Raw genomic sequence first — 27,569 nt, forward strand, 5'->3', positions numbered from 1 at the left:
CAATTTCATCTCTTGATTATTGCTTGAATCTTGTCTCAAGGGATCAGATTTTGCCACTGTAACCCAGAACATTCCAGACATGTAAGGCTATCAATCTTTATCGTAGGAGAGATGGGAAGCCGTTGAAGGGATTTAGATAGGAAACTGACATGACTTTCTTAGTGAAATTAAAAGATTACTAAATCTTTTACAGCAAGCAATGAATAAGAATATGGAGAATGAATTAGAAAGGACTGAGAGTAATTGTGGAGCGGATCTTTCAGGAGTCCAGGGGATAAATGCCAGTGGCTCTGTCACGAATTTGCAAGGCCTTTGAGAGTAGGAGATGAGAGAGTTGGAAGACATGCTATATTTCAGTGGGGCCCATGGGAAGGCTTAGCAAGGCCTCACTCACTGCTAGAAGATAAAATAACTGTAATGAGAAATTCAGGTAAACCTTCCTATTGCTTGCTGCTCTCTTGACTTAGATGGTATTTTTGGTCAAATTAATCAGTATTCTAAATGAATTAAGTATGAATATTCTTGGGTCATTTGCTAATAAGTAAGAAAGAATTAGAGAATTATAATCATGCCCGTAAGAAAAAAAAATTGTATACTTCATGAATCCATCGATCTTTCTATCCATCTCACAACTTTTTAAAGGGTTACTGTAGTACTAGTATCCAAGTACTAGCTCCAGATGGTCTGCAATCCTCCTGAAGTTTTATGTAAATTGTCTTATCTACATACATCTCTCTGGGGGGCAACTTGAAGATTCAGATTCGATTTTTATTCCTATTAAAGAGTAAGAATCAATGGCTTACTGTGTTTTAGGTCTAGGGTATGCAAACATTCATAGGAAATAATCTTCATTCTTAAAGCATGTAAAGTTTATATCATATAAGCACATAAATGGCAAAGTCACATTGTCAGTGCTGTAAAAGAGATAGGAACAAAGCTCTGAAAGCTTGTCAGTTACTCTGGTGCTTTTTCTCCTCCAGGTGACTTCCCAAGTATGCCTGGCCACAATACCTCCAGGAATTCCTCTTGCGATCCTATAGTGACACCCCACTTAATCAGCCTCTACTTCATAGTGCTTATTGGCGGGCTGGTGGGTGTCATTTCCATTCTTTTCCTCCTGGTGAAAATGAACACCCGGTCAGTGACCACCATGGCGGTCATTAACTTGGTGGTGGTCCACAGCGTTTTTCTGCTGACAGTGCCATTTCGCTTGACCTACCTCATCAAGAAGACTTGGATGTTTGGGCTGCCCTTCTGCAAATTTGTGAGTGCCATGCTGCACATCCACATGTACCTCACGTTCCTATTCTATGTGGTGATCCTGGTCACCAGATACCTCATCTTCTTCAAGTGCAAAGACAAAGTGGAATTCTACAGAAAACTGCATGCTGTGGCTGCCAGTGCTGGCATGTGGACGCTGGTGATTGTCATTGTGGTACCCCTGGTTGTCTCCCGGTATGGAATCCATGAGGAATACAATGAGGAGCACTGTTTTAAATTTCACAAAGAGCTTGCTTACACATATGTGAAAATCATCAACTATATGATAGTCATTTTTGTCATAGCCGTTGCTGTGATTCTGTTGGTCTTCCAGGTCTTCATCATTATGTTGATGGTGCAGAAGCTACGCCACTCTTTACTATCCCACCAGGAGTTCTGGGCTCAGCTGAAAAACCTATTTTTTATAGGGGTCATCCTTGTTTGTTTCCTTCCCTACCAGTTCTTTAGGATCTATTACTTGAATGTTGTGACGCATTCCAATGCCTGTAACAGCAAGGTTGCATTTTATAACGAAATCTTCTTGAGTGTAACAGCAATTAGCTGCTATGATTTGCTTCTCTTTGTCTTTGGGGGAAGCCATTGGTTTAAGCAAAAGATAATTGGCTTATGGAATTGTGTTTTGTGCCGTTAGCCACAAACTACAGTATTCATATTTGCTTCCTTTATATTGGGAATAAAAATGGGTATAGGGGAGGTAAGAATGGTATTTCATTACTTGATCAAAACCATGCCTTGATGTACCCAAAACAAAAGGACTATAAAATGCAAGAGCCCTCATTGTAGTCCTTATGGGATCCCTCCCATCTCTGAGTGATGGCCGTACAAAGACCAGTGTTGTTGAATCCACCTGGAGTTGCAATATTACATTATTTTCCAGTACAGAATGTCTGTGTGGCCCATGAAAGCAACATAGGTTTTAAGAGTTTTAGAGTTTCATTAGCTCATTCTAAGTTCCTCTGTTTGAAGCATGGTCTCTTAGGTTTTGGACTGAACTCAGACCTTTAGTTCTTTTCATCCCACTTCACCTTAGGTAAGTAAATTCTGGCCACCACCCAGCTCCAAAGACACAAACTCTCCTTCGCTAACCAGGTTAGATGTCCCATTCATCTCATGCCCTGATAAAAACTGATAAGGGGAGAGAATAGTTAAAAATTTTTCTAGGGTATCATAACTCTGGTAGGAAGTCATCTGTCTAGAAATCAAGAGAAAAAGAACGTGTGGCCTCCTGTTATAACAAGGGTTTCTAGATTTGTCCTGTGAAAGGTCGTTTAAGGACTTGGGGATCAACTTCCTCAATTATCACCAATTGCACTGTTGCTCCAAAAATCATTTAAAAGCTTACTGGACATATCTACATAATGGTGAAACTGTAATTTAGAGACTATCCCTGACTAATGTGCTGGTAGGCATTAAAATGAGTTCCCAAGGGAAGTGATTAAAATTTTTTTCTCTTCTGTTTTTTGAGAGAATTTCTAGATGTCCTGGGCCACAGTTAATTAAGATTTTTAGGGGGGACAGAAAGTTATACTGAAATCTTTAGAGCTCCCTTCCGCCGTTAAAATTATATATATATATATTTAAATTATACCTTAAGTTCTGGGGTACATGTGCAGAATGTGCAGGTTTGTTACATAGGTATACACGTGCCATGGTGGTTTGCGGCACCTGTCAACCCATCTACATTAGGTATTTCTCCTAATGCTCTCCCTCCCCTAGCCCCCCACCCCTGGACAGGCCCCATTGTGTGATGTTCCCCTCCCTGTGTCCATGTGTTTTCATTGTTCAACTCCCACTTCTAAGTGAGAACATGCGGTGTTTGGTTTTCTGTTCCTGTGTTAGTTTGCTGAGAATGATGGTTTCCAGGTTAAAATTATATATTTTTAAATAAATGAAAACTGTGTTTTTAAAAGAGGACTTTTGAGAAGTATATAGAAAAACCATTAATTTAGACTCTGTGAGATTAGGTTGCATGAAGAAGGTTTTCTGAATATTTGAAGAGTGGATAAATAAATGTCCCCCAAAGCAATAAAATCATAATCCTTTAAAATATAGGAAAAATAACTAATGGGAACTAGGCTTAATACTCGGGATGAAATAATCTGTACAACAAACTCCCATGACACATGTTTACCTATGTAACAAACCTGCACATGTACCCCTGAACTTAAAATAAAATTTAAAGTAATAATAATAAAATAATATGGATTTTCTTTCCAAATTCGGAATTACTTTTTGTAAAATTGTATTAATAACTTGTGGCATGTGGCACGTTAAACTGATTTTATTTCAAGAACTTCTGTTACTGGCTAGGTTGATACATAGGCTTGTGGGTTTTTGCTTTTTGGGTTTTTTTTGCTCCTGCCCATACTTCCAGTGTCTTCAGTGTTTTATCTTAAAATTTTCCCAGGATCTGATCCAGTTTCATATTTAATGCTGCAGAAAACCTGAAGTGATTAGTAACATGAATAGAATAACAGAATGAATTAAGGGAACTTTTTTTTTCATCAAGGTATATCTTCGGGATTTAAAAGTTTTTCATAATTTATTATCACTGTGGATCCACAAATTCCTCAGATGAATAAGAAATACCTCTGTGAATTTCTGTGACCACTAAAATTACTGAGCCACAGAAATTAATTCTGAGGAAGCAGAAGTAGCAACATAGTTCAAACATGACTTGTTTCCATATATTTTCTGTTTTATATATTCTTTTAAATATCCTTTTAAACAAGTAATATTTCTTTTCTTTCTTGCCTTTTTTCCCATTTATTTTTTACATTTTTTCTTTCTCATTTTGAACCATAAAATTTGTAAGACCGTTACTAAGACCCCTGATAGTTTTAAGAAAATTTATAATACCTATAAATATGTAAAAAAAATTTAGAAAAATATTTAAATTAAAAGTATTCATGAGAATTTCATTACCTTGTAGATTATGTCATACTCTTTTCCAGATTTTAGATATGTTGAGGTCAGGCAATTCAAAAGAATTAATCTCTGTATTAATCTGTTATAATGTTAACATAACACTATGTTATTTTCATATATTATAATAACAGGCTTATTAGAAATGTTCTCAAAAGATAGAAATGCAATATTTCATAATATAAAATATCTTTTTCATCAGTATTTATGGAATAAATAGAAAAATTTTAGTTTTCCTGTTCTTTGTCTTGAATCAATACAGAAATGAACCTCATGTGACATTGGGAGTGACATTGGCCTCTAGGGCCATTTTTGGATATCACCATTATAAGAGAGCACTAGTATTAGCATTTGGTGGTGGGAGCCAAGGAATAGACATCTTGCCTTGCACATAATTGTCTGTACAATAAAGAAGTATCAGGTCTTGCTCTCTATTTGAATACTCTATTAGATATTAATGAAGTGAAACATATACTCATAACAATCAGAGCAGCTATCAGGTTTTACCCAGTTTTCGTAAACACGTAGTATTTTTTTTTGTATAGCTTTAATTCTCTGAATTTTCTGGAAATGCAGCTATCATGGATTGAAGAAAGATTTTACTTTGGTTTCCTCTGAGCTTTACCAAGAGTTGTTCAGTACTTTGGAAATGACATTATAAGTAACAATACCATTTATGACATTAAAATATGACACAACATACCTGTAAGCAATATTTGTAGCTATTGTATTCAGGAGATATTACATACAGGTGTCAGCATCAGACTCACTCATTTTGTCTCTTTATGTGATTATGCCTGAGCATTTACACACTGAATTATATACTGTTATCCATAACTTTTCTTTTCATTACTCATTTATATTACAGTGAGAACATTATACGTAAAAATAATGTGTATGTTTACATTATTAGTGTAGAAAGCATATACATTTCATTTTGAAATGGTAAAATTATCTGTAAGTTTCCTTTTAGAATGGTAAAAGTATTACCAAATATTTGTGATAAAAAGCAAGGTATTGGGTCTGAGAAAGCTGAGAACCACTGAATTACCACAAAGGGACAAAATAAGAGGGAAATTTATAAATTTTAACATTATAAACAGGAAAAATATTTCAGTGTTTTTGAAATACTTACCTCATCTTCATTCAATTCTAAATTACTTCTTTTGTTTCTACAGCAATTAAATGCAACTTTTAGAAAAATGTGAAGAAAATATACATGTGTATTTTCTTTTTTAATAAGAAAAATACACTTTTTCTGAGCCTCACCACTCTCAGATTGGCTCTTGATCAATATCTACCAGATTTTTAACCCAGACATAATAATTTTTGAGGCCCAGGGAGAAAGATCTCTTCAGGCACCCATTAAAAGGGACACTATTTGGCTCTTGTTTATTCCTTAATTTTCCTGTGAAAGGATCATTGAGTCCCCTGCCTTCCTCCTCAACTTCATTTAAATTAAGGAGAAATTGTAGGTGAAATGAACTTTGTGTAAAGTGATTCAAGAGGTGTTAATAAATCCCTCTTGCCTCCCCAAATCCTCCTCAATGAAGCTGCCATGAAAACTCGATTGTTGGGTTAAGAATCAGTTTTTCTGAAGGAGGGTATTGGGCCAATCCATTCTCAGTCATTGGCTTTTGGTGTGAAGTTAGAATTTGGGATGCTGTCATAGCTTTGATTGGATAGATTTTGCCCACTTTCCTCTATGAGACAGACATAGGCCAAAGACTCTCACACCTATTGGTACTGGTAGGAACAAGGAAGCTCTTCTTGTTATAGGGGCCAACTACAGCATTCTGTAGACAGTTGGTACTGAGAGCTCCATGGTAAAGGGGCACAGGGATGGCAGAACTGTGGGGATAATGCCCAGAGATTGCAACATGCCAAGGGACACCCATGGGTATTGGAAACCAGGGGAATCTGAAGACCCAGCAGGAGCTGCTGGGGAAATGAGACCCAGGTCTGAGAACGGCTAGCTGAGAGCAGGAGGGGCTTGTGTGAGTCTTGCTCAGGAGTTCTGAGCAAACAGGACTGCTCTTGGAAGACAGGGCAATGGAGGCAGCAAACAAAGACTGTTTTGAACAGGAGGTAAGAAAGTGCTGGCGAGCATGGTTTATTTTATTTGCAGTTTGTCCTAATAGTTTATGTCATTAGCAATGAATTATTTCTGCCCTTTGTTGCTGATCTGGGCCATAGATCTCATGGAGGACAGGGTGTGGTTACAAAGATGTAACCACTGGCAACCTGATCAGAGATTTTGGATAAAGATCTCCAGCTCATCCTTAAGTCAAGTAAGAAAAGAATCCCTTGGAATTTAGAGAAGGGTCTGAAGAGTTTCCCTTCTGTTTTCAGGAAAGCATCATCTTACATGTCAGGAGTAGACACTTGCCAAAGTCTACACCAGCCTCTGGCACCCTCAGGAGGGTCTGGAAAGACATCTAGGCCCCCTCTCCAATGATGTTCAATTCTGTATAACACAGCACACTTCTTACCACAGCCCAGCTGGGTACCCCATTCTCTGAGTTGTCCTTTGCCTCTCAGAATTCCATTATTTTCGTAGCATTGTGCTTAACAGTGGGACACACTACTGACCTGTACACTTAAGAACGGCTAAGATGGTTGATTTCATGTCATGCATATTTATCACAATAAACAATTTTTTAAATTAGAAGATATATATATATCTTATATATATTTAGTTATATATATAACATTTATATATATATATATTTAGAAACTTTAATAGGCAAGAACTGAGCTGATGGAGAAAGTTAAAATATTAGAAAGAAAAAAGCTAGTCTGAGACATAGAAAGACTTCAGTCCTCCTATCAAGGGACTACCTATAGGGAAAGCAAATGGAAAACACTTCACATCTGGACATATCCTTGGAGAATGCTTTGAATTTTAAGAACAAAGAATTAGTACAAAAAAAGCCAGGCAAGAGAAATGTTTACCTCTAAAAGAAAGAAAAACAATTAGAAAGGTATTAAGTATTTTCCTTCACAGCCTAATGCCAGAAAATGGGAAGCAATGTCTATTGGATTTTGATTTAAAATATCATGGCTAAGAACTCTCTAAGCAGGCAATTACTGTGCATGCCCCTGGGTAAACAAAGGAACTTGAGACGGATTTTCCTCTCCATCTCGGGGCTTATCATCCCAAAGCCATTGCTTCTCCCTCTCCAGGGTCTTCCACAGGTAGGAGAGCAACTCCACTTGGTTATCTTGAGGCCAAATTATCTTTTCAGGAGGCAAGTTGCTGGCGAAACCTAACTTTCCTTTTAGAATAAGATCCATTCAGCACTCAGTCTAGAAAAATGTTTCTTCCATGATTCTTACAATAGGAAGGCAGCTTTCCCTGGCCTCTTGTTCTCACGTTCCATTCCCGCTTAGAGCCGCTCCCATGTCACTATTTCCTTAGTTAGACTAGAAAGAGAGCCAGATATCTGTTCTGAAATAATTGTCTCTCTCCTCCTATCACAACCATCTTCAAAATTTTGCTTTGCATTTGAATTTTTATTGCATATTTAGTTTCACAACCTTATTTCCTAAACTTTCCTAAAATTAAATTTCTGCCTCATCTCCATTTTTATCACAACCTGTTAACTTATTGCACATTTAACCTCTGTTCTATAGAAAACATGTATTTTGAGTTTTATCAATGGTTTAAAATTGACCAGTGCAGTCTACAATGCCTTTCCGTCTCATTCAGAAAATTCTTTTCAGACGTGCTCTTTCTACAATTTGAGCAGTTCAGGTTATTGGCCACATGTAGTTTTTTCCCCTTATTCCTGTATTCCTAAGTAAGATATCACCAGGCCTTAGTTTTCCTTATCAACTGTGTCAGTGGCTTCTTCTCAGCAACTCCTTATTATCAGGCGCTCTTAGAGGCTTCCACTTAAATGTAAAAATTGGAGATTGATTACCAGTTCCTGGTGCTAAGTGCCCAAGGGCAAGAGAGAGGCTGTAGGGATTATGGAAAACTCTACTAACTTTGCAGTTTCTTTTGTATAGTTATTAATTCCCTTGTGTAAAGTGGTCAGCCCTGTGTACCCAGAATGATTCTGGAGTGAAGAAACTGCCCTTTTTTTGTGTGTACAAACCCCCTCTACCCAATGTCAGTGAACCTCTAAGTAATCTTCAATCCACACACGAGAGGTGCTGATTCATAATAAAATTTTGTTTTTCCAGGGAAATAAGAAATGCAATAATGATGCACTGAGTTTTTCTTAAAGTGAAACATATTTAATGATATATTCAGAGACATATTTTTATAATTCACTTTATTTGTATTATATCATAATGTACTAGAACTATTATAAGCACCATTTATAAGATTATAATTAAGTAATCTGCAAGATGGTGGTTGTGCTAAGAACCACACATAGACAATTTTCTTGACAATATTGGTCAGTTTCCAGTCTTTGGCCTTAGATGTCTTTTGGCCAGTCTTGGTATATCATGGACACAAAATGAGTTCTATATCTGCTGTTGTTATCAGTAAAGTCACCCCAGATGACACATTGCTCCAAAAATATCTGGCAAAGTTTTTAAAACAATAAATTTTTATATGCAATTGGAATTATTTGTAAAAAATCAATAAGTGAACACACATTGAATTTCTCTCGAAGTCCTGACTTTTGATGTATTTGATGATTAAAATTAATTCTACCTTTTATGGATATTAAAAGACCAATAATGTTAAACATATCAAAGTGAAGTTTGTTCCAGTTGGTCTGTTTGAATGTTCTTTTTTTTTCTTTTTCTTTTTTGACATAGAGTCTTGCTCTGTCGCCTAGGCTGGAGTGCAAAGGCACGATCTCAGCTCACTGCAACCTCCGCCTCCCAGGTTCAAGTGATTCCCCTGCCTCAGCCTCCTGAGTAGCGGGAATTACAGATGTGTGCCACCACGCCTGGCTAATTGTTGTATTTTTAGTAGAGGCAGGGTTTCACCATGTTGACTAGGCTGGTCTCGAACTCCTGACCTCAGGTGATCCACCTGCCTTGACCTCCCAAAATGCTGGGATTACAGGCGTGAACCACAGCGCCTGGCCTTGAATGTTTTTAAAAAGACCTGACAGAGTAAAAATGTGTATGCCATGAATTGTGTTGTGAGTAAATTCACAGAAGGGCATGATGAGAATAACATCCAGCCTGCCAGGAGAGTCATGCAGAATTACTTGAAAATATGAGTGTTCACATATTCACTTCAGATTTATTGAGCTAAATGCAAATGATCAAAGCAACTCTACTGCATGATATTAATAAGTTTTGTCTGCTCTAATGCTTTAAAACCACAAAACCTTTAAATACATTTAAATATAAGATACTATGCTAAAAGATCAATGCAGATAATTTTTTGAAGTAAAAATGCTCCAAAATTATGAAACTACCAAATCTTGAGTGTTGGTATATAAATACGTACTTATTCCACAGACCTCATCCTCTCTTGTCCACTCAGGACTTTGCCTCTGCTACTGTGGCCTCAGACTCCTGCACCATCATTTTCTCTCTTTCTACTGAACTACCCATGTCTGCATAAATGATACAGTATTAATGAAACAAAACCACTCCCATCATCTCCAGTAAATGCCATGCTATTGCTTTGCCTCCCTTTATAAGTTTTCTACAAGAAAACTCCTTGAAGGTAACATCCACATTATTTTATTTTATTTTATTTCTGAGGCGAAGTTTTGCTTTTGTTGCCCAGGTTGGAGTACAATGGCGTCATCTTGGCTCACTGCAACCTCTGTCTCCTGGGTTCAAGTGATTCTCCTGCCTCAGCCTCCTGAGTAGGTGGAATTACAGGCGCCAGCCACCACCCCTGGCTAATTCCTGTATTTTTAGCAGAGACGGGATTTCACCATGTTGGCCAGGCTGGTCTCGATCTCCTGACCTCAGGTGATTCGCCCCTCTTGGCCTCCCAAAGCTGCATTCTGTTTCCAGTTCTTCACCTTCCATTATTCCCTTGGCCCAGTTCCATAGTTTCCTTTATGCCCCACTCCACCATACCAATTTTGTCAAGGTAATTAATGGTATCAATTATATAATTCAATGGTTAAGTTTGAGTCTTCACCTTATTCAATCTCAAAGTAGGGTAGGATGCAGTTGAGAAATCTCTTTTTATGGAAATACTTTCCTCATTTAATTACTAAAATGTCTCCTGCTCTTGGGTTTTCTCCTACCTCATTAGGTGTTCCATTTCCATTTCTTTGCTATTCATCCTCTTCTTCCCAGTTTCTAAAGGTTGGAGTGCACAGGGCTTCATCCTCAGCAACCTTCCTGCCTTTCTCTGCACACCTCCCTAAAACATCTTACCAGTTTTGTGGCTTTGAATGTGATCTGTACGCTGATCTTCACCAATTTATATCTCTCACTCTGTCCTCCCTCCTAGATTCCAGCTACACTTGAAGCCTCTGCTTATAATAATACGCAACTTCAATTTAATTTCACCAGAGCAAAACACTGGATTTCCTCCCCTCAGCAGCCTTCCCCATCTCAGAAAATGGCATCACTTTTTACCCATTAGCTCAAACCAAATACCAAGAAGTTATGCTCAATGCCCTTTGTGTCCATCGGGTTCCAATTATGAGACAGAAACTGCTTGGTGATTTAAACAGGGAAAGTTTAATCATTAGCTATAAAAGGAGATTGAAGTGTTGAGAGATTAGCTACTAAGAGGTAAAGAGATGTCTAAAGAATACAAGAGTAGGAGATGTAGCCAGCAGCCACTATCTTCAGATCAGAGGCAAAGCATGCAAAGAAAAACCAACCTGGGTAAGGAATCCGCCTCCTTACCCCCACCAGCCCACCTCACATACACACACACCCAGCACTGAAATGCAGACCTTGCAGGAAAGGGTGGGTCCCCTGGATGATGGAGAAGTTCACAAAGGTGCTTTGCTGATGGAACTTGCTGAAAAGCCACTCATAGGGGTATTAGAAAAAGCTGTCCAAGGGGAGAAACTGCATCTCAGGCCATGCTGGGCATCTGCCCAAGGAACCGAATGCCTTTGGAAGCTGCTCTCTGAAGGGCAGGGATGGCTGTCCACGAGGAGGCCACATGCATTGCGTGCATTAGGCAGGAGCCTGCTACGAGAAAGCAGGTACCAGAGCCAGGGAGAAAAGCCTATTCTTCCCCAAGTGCTGCTTCAGCGCCTTGTAATGATGAAGATTAGTTTAGCATCCCACCCATTGGTAAGGGAGAAACGTGCTAGTTTCATGGCAGGGCAGTAGAGGGTGGATTTGGAGCCGAAGACAATATATGGATGGATAGCCTTTCTTTTGTTTACACCCACACCACGTATGCTGTATCTTCTAATACCGATGACTCTGCTTTAAAGCGTGTCTCTCATCTGACCACTTCTCGCCATTTCTACTGCTACTACCTTCTCAGGCTAGTACAACATTCTCCCTCTCCCTGTTTTCACTTTCGCTGCACTGTGGTCAGTTCTCTGCACATTAGCCATACATCGTGTGAAAGTATAAATTCAATGTTATACTAATTTATAGTACTGATGTTAAATCATGATAGTCTCCACTAAAATTTTTCCTGTGGCTTTTGATCTCACTCAGATGAAAATGTAAACGCCATGATCAGACCCTTGCCTGTCTCTCAGTCAACTTCTTTCTGTTCCTTTGTTTTTGCCTCATAAGCTTTGAATTTTCTGTTATCTCTGATGGGAACATTTCCTCAAATAGCTGGTTCCTCTGTATCATTCATAACTGCTCCAGTGTCATCTCTGCAAAGAAGGTCCTGATTTCTCTATTTCTCTATGTAAAATTGTAGCTTTTTGTTCCCTACTTTTTATACTATTTTATATATATATATATAATATATACATATACATATATATATATATTTTTTTTTTCAGAGATAGAGTCTCATGCTGTTGCCCAGGCTGGAGTGCAGTGGTGCGATCTCGGATCACTGCAACCTCCACCTCCTAGGTTCAAGAGATTCTTCTGCCTCAGCCTCCTGAGTAGCTGGGATTACAAGGGCACACCACCACGCCCAGCTAATTTTTGTATTTTTAGTGGAGATGGGGTTTCACCATGTTGGCCAGGCTAGTCTTGAACTCCTGACCTCAAGTGATCCTCCCCACCTTGGTCTCCCAAAGTGCTGGGATTATAGGCATGAGCCACCACACCTGGCTACTTTATATTCTTTTTGGCATTTATTATTACCACAAATTATGTTAAGTATTCTTAATTAACAAGAATTAATTAAATTTTTGTCCACTAGAATTTAAGTGTCATAAAGAAGGAAATTATTTTTGCCTGGCTATTGTGAGCTAAGGTTTAATGGCATTCAATAAACATATGTTGAAAGAATAAAAAAGTGGGTAAAGGAATGAATTCCTGCTTTTCAACACTGATTTGAACCCATGATCTGCCATTTTTTAGCATATAAAGTTTGAGTCAGTTTCTCAATATCTAAGAACCTCAAATTCTTCTTCTCTAAGATGATAGTTTAAAACATTTAACTCTCCCAAGCTTACTGTGAAAATTCACCAGGTTGGATGATATCTCCTCAAAAAACCATAAGAAAGACTTCTTGATCAAGCAGAGCCATCTCTTGATGGAGTCTAAGTAGTTTCTTAAAAAGAGCAATTAGGGCAGGATATTTATAGGACCACAGGCCAGCCTGGGAGATTTTAAAGAGTGTCTATTAAGGTTTGGATTGGACAGAGTTTATGAAACAGCTGTGCTTTGATGGACACAGTAGGGTGAGGGTGGTAAAATGAATTAAGTTAGCAAGCTGTTAGTCCTAATGAATAAGTGATTGGGTTGGCTTACAGTCTTATATTCTACAAGCAAGTGTTTCAAGGAGCAAGTAGCTAAGTGTGTTTTGTTTGTTCTCAGTATTGATTAATAAAGAAACAGGGAGAATATATTGTCTCAGATTTGGTTAGCACTGGGGCAGGAGAGTATGTTCTATGGCGTTGTTTATGGGACAGAGGTATTTTGGTTCCAGATCTCAAGTGAGATGGTATTTGTGAGGTGTGGAAACAGTGCCAGCCCATATGCACAATGCCATAAAGCAGAGTAGATATCTAAGTGAATTGCCCGTCACTGAGCAGCTTAGCATATACAGCCTGTATTCAGATAAAAGCATCATGGTTTCGCTTCTTTGAAAAGTTCTTTTCATTAATAAAATGGTTTTTTTGGTTTCTTTTGGATGATTTAAAAATGATTCTTTCAGAGATGATAAATTATGTGCTTGGGGAAATTCTGTAATTCTGATGGGTTTGTAATGACTCTTTTTGACTTTGCGAATTGATCCAGTAGAGCATAAACTTCGGGAGTGCCTTAGGCCTTAATAGGCTATGTTCTTGTTTTAATAATTTTGACAGAATTGTTGTGGGAATCATAATTAGAGTCTCTCTCTCAGTGAATTTGATTAATTTAAAAAATTAATAACATTTCTACGTAAACAAAAGGTATTAGGATGGTGCAAAAGTAACTTGCAGTTTTGCCATTAAAAGTAATTACTTACCACAATTACTTTTTCAATAACCTAAATGTAATAAGGAAGAGAGGAGAGCCTATCCCCGAGCAGATGTGCACTTTAGGGAAGGAGTTGATGCTTGTCCTGTGTTGTGAGGCTTTGTGATTGAATCAGCTGCTCAGGATATCAAAGAATCTTCAACCTGAGGACCAGTTACATTAGAATGGTATTGTCTGCTTGGACTCCTCTGTTGAGAAGAATTGCAACGATTCTCTGAGTTCAGGTGGGAAAAAGAGCTGTGGTATGGGCATAGGAAAGGTGGATGATGGCCTACTCATAGCACATTTATTGGTACATTGTTGTTTTTGCTGCTGCTATTGCTGTTTCCTGTTTCATTGATGAATCAGGAGTCTTCTATTAAAAACTATATGTACTACTTTTACACATGTTCACAGTAACATAACAACAAGCATAGGTCTTATCATCCACTTATTCCAAGGCTAAGAATAGGAGTCAGGGAAGTTAAGTGACTAGTCTGAGGACACAGGGATAAAATTTGGCAGAGACATGGATGTGGCTATGCCCAGGTATATGTGGCTGAAAGCTGGTGCTCTGTCTCTATGCAAGACAGGCAGAGGAAAACCTCTGGTTACCAAAAAAAAAAAAAAAAAAAAAATCACAACAAAGCTACAGGAAAACAGAAACCATCTAGAAAAGAAGTCAAGTCTCCTTCTCAATGACAGCTGAACTTTGCCAAGGAATTGAGATAACTATGAGCTAAGGCTGGGTAAAGATTCTGATTTAAAGCATTACAGACTTTCTAAAGTTTTACTTCTTTCAGGAGCAGGAACAAAATCCCTTTTCCCCTTTTATCTACATGATTTAGAGGAGTGCTCTGCTAGGAGGTCTATGAATATTTATAGAGGATGATAATAATTAAAGACAAAAGTTTCAAGATATACGTAGCAGAATTAAAGAACAGGGTTATATTTTGCGTTTCTGTTAGTGTTTAAGAGAAAGAGATCTCTTAGTGTATAAGTTTTTATTTTGTGAATTTACATATCCCAAATGACAAATCACTGTTATACATGGCCATTAGAGATTGCACAGTATGTTTACTTTTCTCTTTTAGGTGACAAAGCTATTTGAAGGATGTGTGTGGAACCGAATATAACCCAGTTAAGCATTATTACTAGAAACCAATCAGGGACATATGTAACTTTGTCACCTCGCTGCCTAAAACACTTCACTGGTTTTAACTTCAGAGGCCTCTGATTCTCCTAAATTATTTGTAAATGTTTGTGTGTACCTCGTATGCCTGTATTTTCAGGGTTTAGAATCCATAGATCTCACTAGATTTTCAAAGTCAGTATGCAACTCAAAAGAAGTTTAGAAAGTAATGACATGCAGGATACAGCCCACATTCCTCATTATGACCTCCATAACTTGATCTGGCCCTTGCCTGCTTTTTCTTTTTTTTAAATTGCATTTATTTAAAGTGTACAGCATGACGTTTGCTTACACACATGCATAGTGAAATGATTGCTATAGTTGAGCAAATTGACATACCCATCTACAAACAGAGTTGCCTTTATTTTTCTTATGGAGAGAGAACCTAAAATCTACTCTCTTAGCAAATGTTCCATATACAGTACAGATTTATTACCTGGAGTCCTCCTGCTAGTCATTAGATCTCTAAACATTCATCCTACAGAATAGCAACTTTGTACCCTTTGACCAACATCTCCCCATTTCAACTATCTCCCCATCCCTATTTCTATGTATTTAACTTTTTAAAATTCCACATATAAGTGAGATTATACAATATTTTTCTTTCTGTGTCTGGCTTATTTTACTTAATGTCTCATCCATGTTGTCATAAATGGAAGTATCTCCTTTTTAAAGGTCACATAACATTCTATTCTGTACACACACACACATATAGTGTGTGTGTGTGTGTGTGTGTGTATATATATATTAGTTTTAATATTAATCCATAAATCCACCATTTTAGTCCATGAATCCACCAAATGACACTTAGGTTGTTCCCATAGCTTGGCTATTATGAGTAAGGCTGCCGTGAACATGGGAGTGCAGGTACCTCTATCATGTGCTGGTTTCGTTTCCTTTGGATATATATCCAACAGAAGGATTACTGGGTCATATGGCATTTCTATTTTTAATTTTTTACGGAATCTCCATTCTGTTTTCCATAATAGCTGCCCCACCAATAGTGTACAAAGGTTCCCTTTTTTTTCCACACCCTCATCAACACTTGCTATCTTTTGTCTTTTTGGTAACGGCCATCCTAAGGAGTGTGAGGTCATATGATTTGGAATTGCATTTTCCTGGTGATTAGTAATGTTGAGCTTCTTTTTATATACTTGTTGGTCATTTGTATATTTTCTTTTAAAAGATGTCTATTCAGGTCCTTTGCCCATTTTTAAACCACTTGAGTTTTTTTGTTGTTGTTGTTAGTGAGTTATGTGCATTTATTATATATTTGTGATATTAACCCCAATCAGATATATTGTTTAGAAATATATTCCCCCAGTCCTTAGATAGAAATAAATGGAAATATATCCTTTGTCCATGGTTTAGAAGAATTAATCATTAAAATGTTCATCCAAAGCAGTATGTAGATTCAACGCATTCCTATTCAAAATTGCAATGACATTTTTAACAATTCTAAAATTCAAATGGAACACAAAAGACCCAAAATAGCCAAAGCAATCTTGAACAAGAAGAACAAAGCTGGAGGCATCACACTTCTTGATTTCAAATTATACTGCAAAGTTATAGTGATCAAAAGAGTATGGTGCTGGCATAAAAACAAACATCTAGACCAATGGAACAAAATAGTGAGTCCAGAAATAAGTCCAAACATATAAGGACTACTCACTTTCAGTAAGGAAACCAATGATACTCAACAGAGAAAGGATAGTCTCTTTAATAAATGCTATTGGGAGAACTGGGTATGCACATGCAAAAAAAGGAAATTGAACTCTTATCTTACGCCATACACAAATATCAACTCAAAATGGATTAAAGACTTCAGTGTAAGACTTGCTGTAAAATTCCTGGAAAAAAAGATAGGGAATGAGCTCCTTTACATGGGCTTTGGCAGTGAGTTTTGGGTTATGACACCAAAAGTTCAGGCAACAAAAGCAAAAATAAACAAGTAGGGCTACATCAAACTAAAAAACCTTACTTACTTTTCTAGAAAGAAAATCATCACTTACAACTTTCTTATGTTTTAGCATTATGAAGTTTCTTTAAAACTCCCAAAGCACTTCACATGTTTTCTCGCCTCAGTGACTTTGCACACGCCATTGTCTTGTTTCTCTGCTGCCAACAGTGGTCTCTATTGTTTGCCCAGCAAATTGCTGACTGTCCTTTAAAACCCAGAACAGAATTCATTCCTTCAAGAAGAGCTGATCATTCCTTCATCTGTGCAACCCTGCCTATTATCCATAGGTGTTTTATTTTATTATGCAGTCCTAAAAATGGTGCTGCTGAACTTTTCTTTCTATGAAAAAAATGTTCTTTGTGTATTATTCAGGAAACTAAGCATATGACAAATACAGTGTGTGTGTTTATCTTTACATGTAAAGTTATCGAGAAGAATTTAAATTGAGATTTTAGCTGTACTCACAGTTGATTCTGATTGGCTTTTTTTTTTTTTCTGAATGTCTTTACTCCTGTGGACTTTAAAGTAGTAAATGTGTATGACTTCGGTAATATTTTAAGGTTTAAGAAAGCAATCTATTCACTCTTGGAAAAGGTGAATTTAATGGTGCAATTGCCACCTTTGGTGAACAATTAAAAGCAGAATTGAAAGAATGTTGACCATGAGGTAATCTCATTCGATCTGCCAAGGGATATTTTTTGCTGTGAGGGCTGGGTGTCTAGTGACAGTAAACCGTAGTCACAGATAAGGAGAGAGGGTGGTTTTCAGTTGGAAGGAGGTGGTATCACATGACTACTCTCTGTTGGAATGAGGAGAGAGAATTGAGCTTCACAGAGAAGGTTTAGTTTTGAAGTGTAACTAGATTCAATACAATTTCTTCATTTTTGTGTTTTTTTCTTTTCAATAATATATTTCCTAGGTGCTTAAGTGAATATTTTCAGAAATAGAACAAATAACCGAAGTTTTAAAATAAGGATATTCAGATAAAAGTGAGGTAAAAGAATATCATCTGGGCCCCTTGTGGAAGAGTCCCCTGGCATTGCCACGCATGATGGGAGCCCTCCAGGGGAAGCCCCACAGCCAGAGCCTTGTCTTCTCTGGCCATGCACTAGTGCAGCATTTGACATGATTTTTTTTTCTTTTTATTTTTTTGAGATGGAGTTTTGCTCTTGTTGCCCAGGCTGAAGTGCAATGGTGTGATCTTGGCTAACTGCAACCTCCACTTCCTGGGTTCAAGCAATTCTCTTGCCTCAGCTTCCTGAGTAGCTGGGATTACAGGCATGGGACACCACGCCCAGCTAATTTTGTATTTTTAGTAGAGATGGGGTTTCTCCAAGTTGGTCAGGCTGGTCTCAAACTCCTGACCTCAGGTGATCTGTCTTGGCCTCCCAAAATGCTGGGATTACAGACAAGAGCCACCTCACCCAGCCTTGACCTGATTTTTAACCAGTGCTCTCAGAGGTGGCTGATTAGCTCTTACCACAGCGACGTCATCACTTTTGTCAAAACCAAAAGATAATTGGTAGGGACGGCAGTACTTCCACAGAGTGTTAGTAGGACACAAACCTGGCTGCACCCTCCCTAGGCTCTGTGGTTCTAGTCATCAGTCCCTTATGTGCACTTGTTGGCAGGTACTTGATATACTCTGCTCTTATGTATTTGCTTATATGTCTTCTGGATCATGAGCTCCTTGAAGGCAGGGGCTGTTGCTGAAACAATCTTTATTTCAAAGTCTGCCATGTGGTCATAGCAGTTAAATATTTAATCTAGTGTAAATTAATCATTTAATTTAATTTAACTTTGTGGTGCCATAAACCAGACATCATCTAGTGTCAGCATGCCTTGATTAAAGCTACAGAGTTTTGGAAGAAATAGAATTTGTGTAACTCTCAGTCTTGATGATTTGCTTTTCTCCAAAGTAATAAGATGTATCTGCAAGTATAACTTGGAGAGTGGGGAGCTCTCAGATTCTCATTCTTCTCCTTGGCATTCTTTTGGGCTTTTGGGAAGAGCAGCACTTGGTCAGACCAGTCATTTTTCTTTCAGTGTGAAGAAACTAATCCTCGCTGGAGGCTGACTTTGACAGAAAATCACTGCGAGTGCCTGGAACGTGGGTTCTGAGTAGGAGTCCATGAGGGCTAGTTACTAAGGAAGAAACAGTGGAGAGAGGCAAGTGTCAGGATCAGGAGGGCAAAGGTTGAGATGGGCCTGCTTTCCTAGTTCAACTGCAGTCTAGCGATGTCCAAGAACATTTGGACAGTCATCTCAGACAGGAGCCCAGTTATATTCTCTGAATTTGACTAAATTTGGGGACAAAAAAATATTTGACAAACTACCTGTTAGAAATATTTTCTGTGCCCATGTAGGCAAGGGTGACACATGCAGCATTGAGTGAGTGAACAGGCAGGTGCATGTAGTTCTGCACAGTCATTCTCAACTATTCTTCCCTATTCTGTGATGGATAGTACTCACACGTGGTACACTATCTCTCCCAGTAAAGCACACAGAGGCTGGAGGCTGGAGGATATTCCCTGTGGAATAGCTGTAATTCTGCGTTGCCCTCTCCTCTTCCAGGGAACATGTTGGAACACATGGAAAAGATGTCATAACAGATGGAACTTAAATGCAGGCTGAGAAGCTCACATTTCCATTGAAAGCAGTTTTCTCGCTAAGGCTGGAGATGAGCAGACTTTATATTTTTGTACCTGAAGTTTTGTACCTACTGAAATAGACCCTTTTGCTCTCAATGGTCCCTCTTAGTGATGTTGCTGTAGATCAAGTACCCCACTCACTGTTCTGAAAGAAGAATGTGTCATCCATGTCAGCCTAGCAGGAGTCTGGGACACAGAAACCTTGCTGTGTATGGTTAGGCAAAATGTATCTCTTATGTATTGATTTGATTCTGCTTTATGTTTTTTCCTAGAAGCCAAGGACTTTTCTGGAAGAAAGAGAAATAGAACACAAATATCATCTCTGAAGTTTACAATAATTAACTAGAATCTGTTTGATGCATTAGAAGGGTGGCAAATAAAACCAGCTACCAAGAAAGGTCAACAGGGTACCCTAGGAGGAAACTCACCATCAGGGAGGGATCTAAATGAGTGATTTGGATGTAACCCAGAGCCTAGATATTCTCAGAAAAAGGCTGGATCAAGACACAATTTGTGGCTGTACCGTACCCTTTCCTGATGCAGTTCCCATTATTTTACTCTTTCCTCCTATCTTCTACTGGGAAGATAGCTGCATGTATGCAAACTCAAAGAGCTGTTGTCTCAGAGCCCAGAACTGTTGGGTGTTGCGTCCTGTGGCTGTTGCTGTAGGACACCCCTGGTCGAGTGTACTATTAAAGAGTCAAACACTTTCATCTGTTACAGAGAAACATTGAAGGATCAATGCTGTAGACAGCATATTACACAGGGTTGCTGGAGTGCCAGCTGTGCAAGGATGGCTGGGCCTTGGTTACCATGGTGATTCCTTGGGCAAGCAGAGCCCAGCTTAGAGCTGTGGGATCACACTGGCTTACTGCTCGCTGGGTCCCAGCAGAACACGGGGCTTGCACCACCTGCCCAGAAGTGAGCAGATTAGAGATCAGCTGTCGTGGGCACAGCTGGTTTTGTGTTCTCCAGACAGATGGCAGCAGCAGGGAAACACCAAGGAGAGCTGATTATTCAGGAGTATAAACTACAGTAGAGAGTCTTAGCATGACCTGGATAGAAGTCCAGAATAAAATCTCACTTTCCAACCATGTGCTTGGGGACATTGTCATTACAGTTTGAATACTGGAGGAAATATGACTGTGTTTTCATTAATGAACTAATAAGTTGATTCATTTTTTATTGTATATATTTATAGTGCACAACATGAGGTATTCATACATGTAGTGAATTTATTATTACAGGTAAGTAAAGTATAGGTACTTAACTTGGAGTACCTTTACTTTTATAGCATGAAATACTACCCATTCTTTAAAAAGAATAAAATCATGTCCTTTGCAGGAACATGGATATAATTGGAGGTCATCATCCCAAGTTAATTAAAGTAGAAACAAAAAACCAAATACTGCATGTTCTCACTTATAAGTCAGATCTAAACACTGGGCACTTATGGAAATAAAGACGGGAACAATAGACACTGGGGACTGCTAGAAACGGGAAGAGAGGGCAAGAAGGACTGAAAAGCTACCTATTGGGTACTATACTTACTATCTGGGTGATGGGATCATTTGTACTTCTAACCTTGGCATCATGCTATATACCCATGTAACAAACCTGCACATGTACCCCTGAATCTAAAATAAAAGCTGAAGTTATTTTTAAAAGTGATGAATAAAAGGATGAGAGAGAAATATCATTAATTGCATGTATAGATGAGATAACTGATACTTAGAATAATTTGTCCAATATCATACAGCATAAGCAAAACACTGTCTTTCTGATTGCATTTTTGTACTATGGTACATTATCTAGAGACATGCCTCATTCAAATACATAATGCATTAAATGTTATAATTTATGTAGAATAGTGTATTACTTTCATGTTACAATTTTTTTCAGTTAAGATGAATCTAGTAAACATAAAATTAAAGTGATTTAATTATATGTAAACATTTTCATTTTAAATGCTTAATATAAAATTCACCCCCTTACCAAATTTTCAATATACAATACAATATTATTAACTGTAGTCTCCCTGCTGTACATCAGATCTCTAGACTTGTTCAGCATACATCATAGCATTTGGACTCTTTGACCTGCATGTCCCCATTTCTTTTTCTTTCCAGCCCCTGATAACCACCATTCTAACTCTCTGTTTCTATGTATTTGACTTTCATTTGGATTCTACATATAAGTGAGATCATGTAGTATTTTTCTTTCTGTGATTTTGTTTATTTCACTTAGCACAGTGTCCTTCAGGTTCATCCATGTGGTAGCAAGTAGCAGTGTCTCCTCCTTTTTATAAGGCCACTGAATATTCCGCTGTAGATATATACCACAATGTCTTTATCTATTCATCCATTGATGGATACTTAGGTTGTTTCCATAACTTGGCTATTGTGAATGATGCTGCAATGAATGTGAGAGTGCAGATATCTCTACCAGGTGCTGATTTAATTTCCTTTGTGGCAAAACCAGACGCATATAAAACTTCAAGCTCAGAATAGCTCTACTTTGAGATAGAAATTGAGGATAAGAAAGGGAACTTACACAGACAATTAATTTCTGGCCAGGAAAGACTTCAGGGGGCCAGCTAAGTTCACTCACAGAGGAATAAGGAAAATATCACTTTCAGCTTCTAGGGAAACAGTGTCTTCTGTATTATTTCAGCTCTTAATTTAGTTGATTTTTGAATTTCTCTTCTCTGCTTCTGACACTTAGGGTTTATTAGGTCAGAGGACAAGTTGCAGAAGAAACATTTTTGTTCTCCAATTTGTGTGTGTGTGTGTGTGTGTGTGTGTGTGATCTTATGATTAAGATTGTCAAAGGGAAGAAAGTTATAGGTTCTTTAATAGCACAGGGAGGGCAAAATGTACATAGTTTTGAAGACCATATGACCTGGATGACTGGAAAAATGAGAAGGAAATAAGAAACCAACTGTTACTGAGAGCCTGCCATGTTTGACACTCTACATATTATTTAAAAAAATTCATATGACATGAAATCATCTGCTCCTTGAGAACAGTGACCATGTCTTGTTCAATGCACTCTGTGCTGTGTGAGGTACATGGTAGGTACTCAATAAATATTTGTTGAGCTTATACACTCTTGGTGGGAATGTAAATTAGTTTAGCCACTGTGGAAAGCAGTTTAGAGATTTCTCAAAGAAATAAAAAACAAACTACCATTCTACCCAGCAATCCCATTACTGGGTATATACTCAAGGGAAATACATCCTTCTACAAACAAGACACATACATTCATGTTCACTGCAGCACTACTCACAATAACAAAGACATGGAATCAACCTAGGTACCTATCAACAGTAAACTGGATAAAGAAAATATGGTACGTATACCATGGAATACTACACATTCTTTAAAAAGAATAAAATTATGTCTTTGCAGGAACATGAATGTGGCTGGAGGCCATCACCCTGAGTGAATTAACACAGAAACAGAAAACCAAATATTGCATGTTCTCACTTATAAGTGGGAGCTAAACACTGAGAACTCACAGGCATGAAGATGGGAACAATAGTTACTGGGGACTACTAGAGGGGGAAAGGGAGAGAAGGACTGGAAAGCTGCCTATTGGGTACTATAATCACTATCTGGGTGTTGAGATAATTCGTACTCCTAACCTTGGCATCATCCTATATACCCATGTAAGTAACCTGCCCGCCTACCCCCGAATCTAAAACAAAAGTTGAAATTATTTTAAAAGACTTGAATAAAAGGATGAGAGAGTGATATCATTAATTGCGTGTATAGATGAGATAATTGATACTCAGGATAATTTGCCCAATATCACACAGCAAAAGCTAAACACTAAGTCTTTCTGATTATATTTTCATAATATAGTACATTATTATTATTCAAATAAGTAATGCATTGTTATAATTTATGTAGAATTGTGTATTGGTTTTATGTGACAATTTTTTTCATGAAGACAACCTAGTAAACATAAAACTAAATATGATTTAATTGTATGTAAGCATTTTCATGTAAAAAGTTCTACAATTCAGAAAATAAATCTGTCCAATCATGTATTTTTATTTGATTTGGAAAATAATATGACTGGGGGGCAGGGCCAAGATGGCCGACTAGAATCAGTGTCAGTCAGAGTCTTCCATTGAAAAGAACCAAAACAGTGTGCGAATCCTCCACTGGCAACCCAGATATCCAGGTTCTGTCATCAGGACTGAGTAGGAGGCTGGGGTGACCCACGGAGAGGAAGGAAGAGCAGTGTGATGGGCGGCCCACCTGAGAGCCATAAGGGGCGGAGGAGACCTCAACCCCCAGCCAACGGAGGTGGTGAGTGAGCACACTACCCAGCCTGGGAAACTGTGCTTTTTCCATGCAACTGAGCGACCCACAGATCAGAAGATCCCACTCGTGAACCCAAGCCACCGTGGCCTAGCGTCCCAACTATGGAGCCATGCAGATTCTCAACAGCCACTCAGCTAGAATCTGCCTAAGCTTGCCCAGTTCTTGAGGAGAGGGGAGGCCATCGCCACAGCTGCAGCTGCCTGCTGTCTAAGCCTTCTGGGCTCCTTGGAGGAGGGGCGGCAGGCAACACTGGGAATGCTAGCTGCCTAACACACTATGCTCCCAGGGCAGGGGAAGGGCGGCAGCCATCTCTATAGCTCCAGGCCACGCTTTTCCTCTGCTGGAGCCAAGGAGGCTGGACGGTTGGGTCCCAAGAGGTATTCGCCACAGCCTAACAAACCGGCTGTGGCAGACTACGGCCAAAGTGCCTCTTCAGGCCTGACCTTGACCCATTCCTCCTCACTGGGTGGGGCCTCCCTGCAGGAATTCCAACAACTCCAACCAGGGGCTCAGGGACAGAACTCTAATCTCCCTGGGCCTGAGCCCATGAAGGGGTGGCCATAGTCTCCGTGGACCAGCAGACTTGGTCTTTTGTTCTTCTAGTTCTGAGGAATCGGAGCAGCCCAGAGGAGTAGGTTTCCCCACAGCGAGGCACACCCCCTCTACCAAGGGACAGCCAAAGTGCTTCGTTAAATGGGTCCTGCATCCCATGCCATCCAACTGAGTGAGATCCTCCAACAGAGGTTGTCAGACACCTTATATGGGAGCATTTCTACTGGCATCACATTGGTGCCCCTCGAGGTCAGAGATCCCAGAGGAAGGAGCAGGCATCCATCTTTGCTGTTCTCCAGTCTCCTCGAGTGACATCTCCAGGCACGGGAGTGAACCTGATGAATAGGGCCTGAAGTGAACTCCCAGCAAACCACAGCAGCCCTAGAGAAGAGGGAGCTGACTATTAAAAAACAAACAAACAAACAAACAGAAAGCAACAACAATAGCATCAACAAAAAAGTCCCCACAAATCCTCATCCAAGGATCAACAGCCTCAAAGATCAAAACTAGACAAACTTATGAAGAAGAGAAAAAATAAAAAAAAACACAGAAAACCCAAAAGGCCAGAGTGCCTCTTCTCTTCCAAATGATCACAACACCTCTCCAGCAAGGGCACAGAACTGGACGGAGGATGACATGGATGAACTGACAGAAGAAACAATAGATGCTGGCAAGGCTGTGGAGAAATAGAAATGCTTTTACACTGTTGGTGGGAATGTGAATTAGTTCAACCATTGTGGAAGACAGTGTGGCAATTCTTCAGGGATCTAGAACCAGAAATTCCGTTTGACTCAGCAATCCCATTACTGGGTACATAACCAAAGGAATATAAATCATTCTACTATAAAGATACATGCACATGTATGTTTATTGCAGCACTATTTACAATAGCAAAGACATGGAACCAACCCAAATGCCCATCAATGATAGATTGGTTAAATAAAATGTGGTACATATACACTATGGAATACTATGCAGCCATAAAAACAAATGAGATCATGTGCTTTGCAGGGACATAGATGAAGCCAGAAGCCATCTTGTTCAGCAAACCAGCACAGGAACAGAAAACCAAACACTACATGTTCTCACTCATAAGTGGGAGTTGAACAATGAGAACACATGGACACAGGGAGGGGAACATCACATATGGGGACCTGTAGGGGGAGGAGGAGAGGGAGATCATCAGGACAAATAGCTAATGCATTTGGGGCTTAAAGCCTAGATGACGGGTTGATAGTTGCAGCAAACCACCATGGCACATGTATACCCATGTAACAAACCTGCATGTTCTGCACATGTATCCAGAAACTTAAAGTAAAATAAAAATTAAAAACAACAATAATAATATGATTGTAAAGATAGATCACGTTTAAAGAGGGCAGCTCACTGTGGTGTACTGGTAATTTTTGAACAACTGGTTCCCTTCTCCCTAAAAAAAACCTCTGTGTGTGTGTGTATGTATGTGCGTGTGTGTGTATGTATGTGTATATGCATATATATTATATACACAATATTATTTATTATAAATTCCATACAGCCAGTTAGTTCCCACAGAATGCTTTTATTAATTTTTACCAAACTCTTATCTATAGCCAACCTTTGTTTGCAACTGATGAATAAGTTAGTTGACACATTTGTTTATCTCATGTAAGACAAAAGTCAAACAATGAAGACTCACGTCTCGGAAATTCACTGTTTTGTCCATGGTGTGAGCAAGTTCCCTGTTGAATTGTGTAATAGTGGTTGAATACTAGAAAACTGTATTTTTCATTTCAGTGCTGGTCAGTGTAATAACTACAGACACACAACACACTTCTAAGTTTAATCTGCTTTATCAACATTTTCTCTACCACTTCCATAAGTCTAGACAGTCAATAAAAAATAAATTGAGCCCTGATTTGTAGTATTTGCCAATTCCCACCAGGCCAATTTCAAGCTATCCGAGTGATGTCACCAAACACAGATTTGGGAAGAAATGTGCAGTGACACAGCATTATGTAGAACTCGCAACTTGCAACTAAGACATAAGTAACTTCAAAAGTATAAATAAATAAAACACAGTAATTGATAAGTTCTAGTAAGTGATGAGTTCTACACATTATTACTTGAATTTTTAATAATGGCTAGTTGGTAGAGAATGTAAATCAGTTTAGTTTCTACAGCAGTGACATCAGATTCCAATGAAGGGGTGAGAAAAGAAAGTGAAAAACAGAAGAAAGGGGAAAGAAATATTTGAGCATGTGATGTGGGCTAGGTACTTTCCTTACATGAGCTCCTTTAGAGTCCTTTCTCCAACTTTCGAATGAACAAAATGAGTCCCAGCAAAGCACCTCCTCCTTTGACCACAGGACGCTGCCTCAGAAGGAGAGCCACCAGTTCCTGTTGCTCCTGGCTGCTTTTCTTTGTGTTCCGTTTCCTCTATTTAACTCAAATTACTGAGAAGTAGTCTGCTTATGTTTTAGTTATAAGCCTCTGATGGAAAGCTGGGGCAGCCACCCACTAGGGAAGATAGATGGCCAGACCCTCTCTCTTCATCTCTCTGGCAGCCAGAACTTAGGTGACCCAGCAGGGCCTAATCAGACATACATGCCCAGCACTTGAACATGGGAGCCGTGGATGGTGGAGAATTTATTCCGACTAGTGTGACCAACTGTCCTGCTTTGCTGAAGACAGAGGGGGTTCTCAGGAGCCCAGACTATCAGTTTAAAACCAGCAAAGAGTTTTGAGCATACCAGCGCAAGTGGGTCACCTGCTGCTGGAGTCTGGGGGTGGCAGTTTCAGCCTCAGTGTGCAGGGTCAACAGTGACTGCAGGGGAATCTGCAGCATCTGCAGTGCGGCGTTGACCACCCTAAGATCAAGTTCTGAGTCTTGATTTGGGCTGTGGTTCTGGCTGCCCTCCGTTCATGCCTATTTTCAGAAACTAGTTCTGCATCTTCCCAATTATTCTGTGAACCAACTAATAACCTTGCAAAACCTCCTTTTCTGTTTAATGTCAGCCAAGGCAAAGTTTCTGCTGCTTGCAGGGAATAGCCCTGGACTGACACCATGCTTCTCTCAGCTTTCCTTACTGTTGTTCCATCTCCCAGCAATGGCTGGCTCTGGAGTTCATTGTTCTGTGCTCCGCATAGGTGAAGTCTCCAGGGAAAAGTGCTTCTTTCTAAGGCACTGTCAGACTTACGGAAGT

General features: G+C 39.0%; 1 protein-coding gene across 15 annotated transcripts in view, besides 1 other annotated feature; it reads left to right on the top strand.

Annotated features, from left to right (window-relative positions):
• GPR141 (G protein-coupled receptor 141) overlaps positions 1-4,436 on the top strand; it is a 60,070-nt gene extending 55,634 nt beyond the window's left edge. For all 15 annotated transcript variants that reach the window (XM_011515374.4, XM_011515375.4, NM_001329994.2 and 12 more), the window contains one exon: positions 981-4,436. In XM_011515374.4, the coding sequence (XP_011513676.1) occupies positions 981-1,912 (932 nt within the window). In that variant the 3' untranslated portion in view covers positions 1,913-4,436. The remainder of the gene's footprint in view (positions 1-980) is intronic.
• Positions 26,491-26,960: an enhancer, noted in NCBI's record as "active region_25862". NCBI's record gives its function as "activates an Ori minimal core promoter by ATAC-STARR-seq in GM12878 lymphoblastoid cells {active_cell/tissue: GM12878}" and the evidence as "EXISTENCE:reporter gene assay evidence [ECO:0000049][PMID:35858748]".

This window comes from Homo sapiens, chromosome 7 (assembly GCF_000001405.40).
Source record: "Homo sapiens chromosome 7, GRCh38.p14 Primary Assembly".
NCBI lineage: Eukaryota > Metazoa > Chordata > Mammalia > Primates > Hominidae > Homo > Homo sapiens.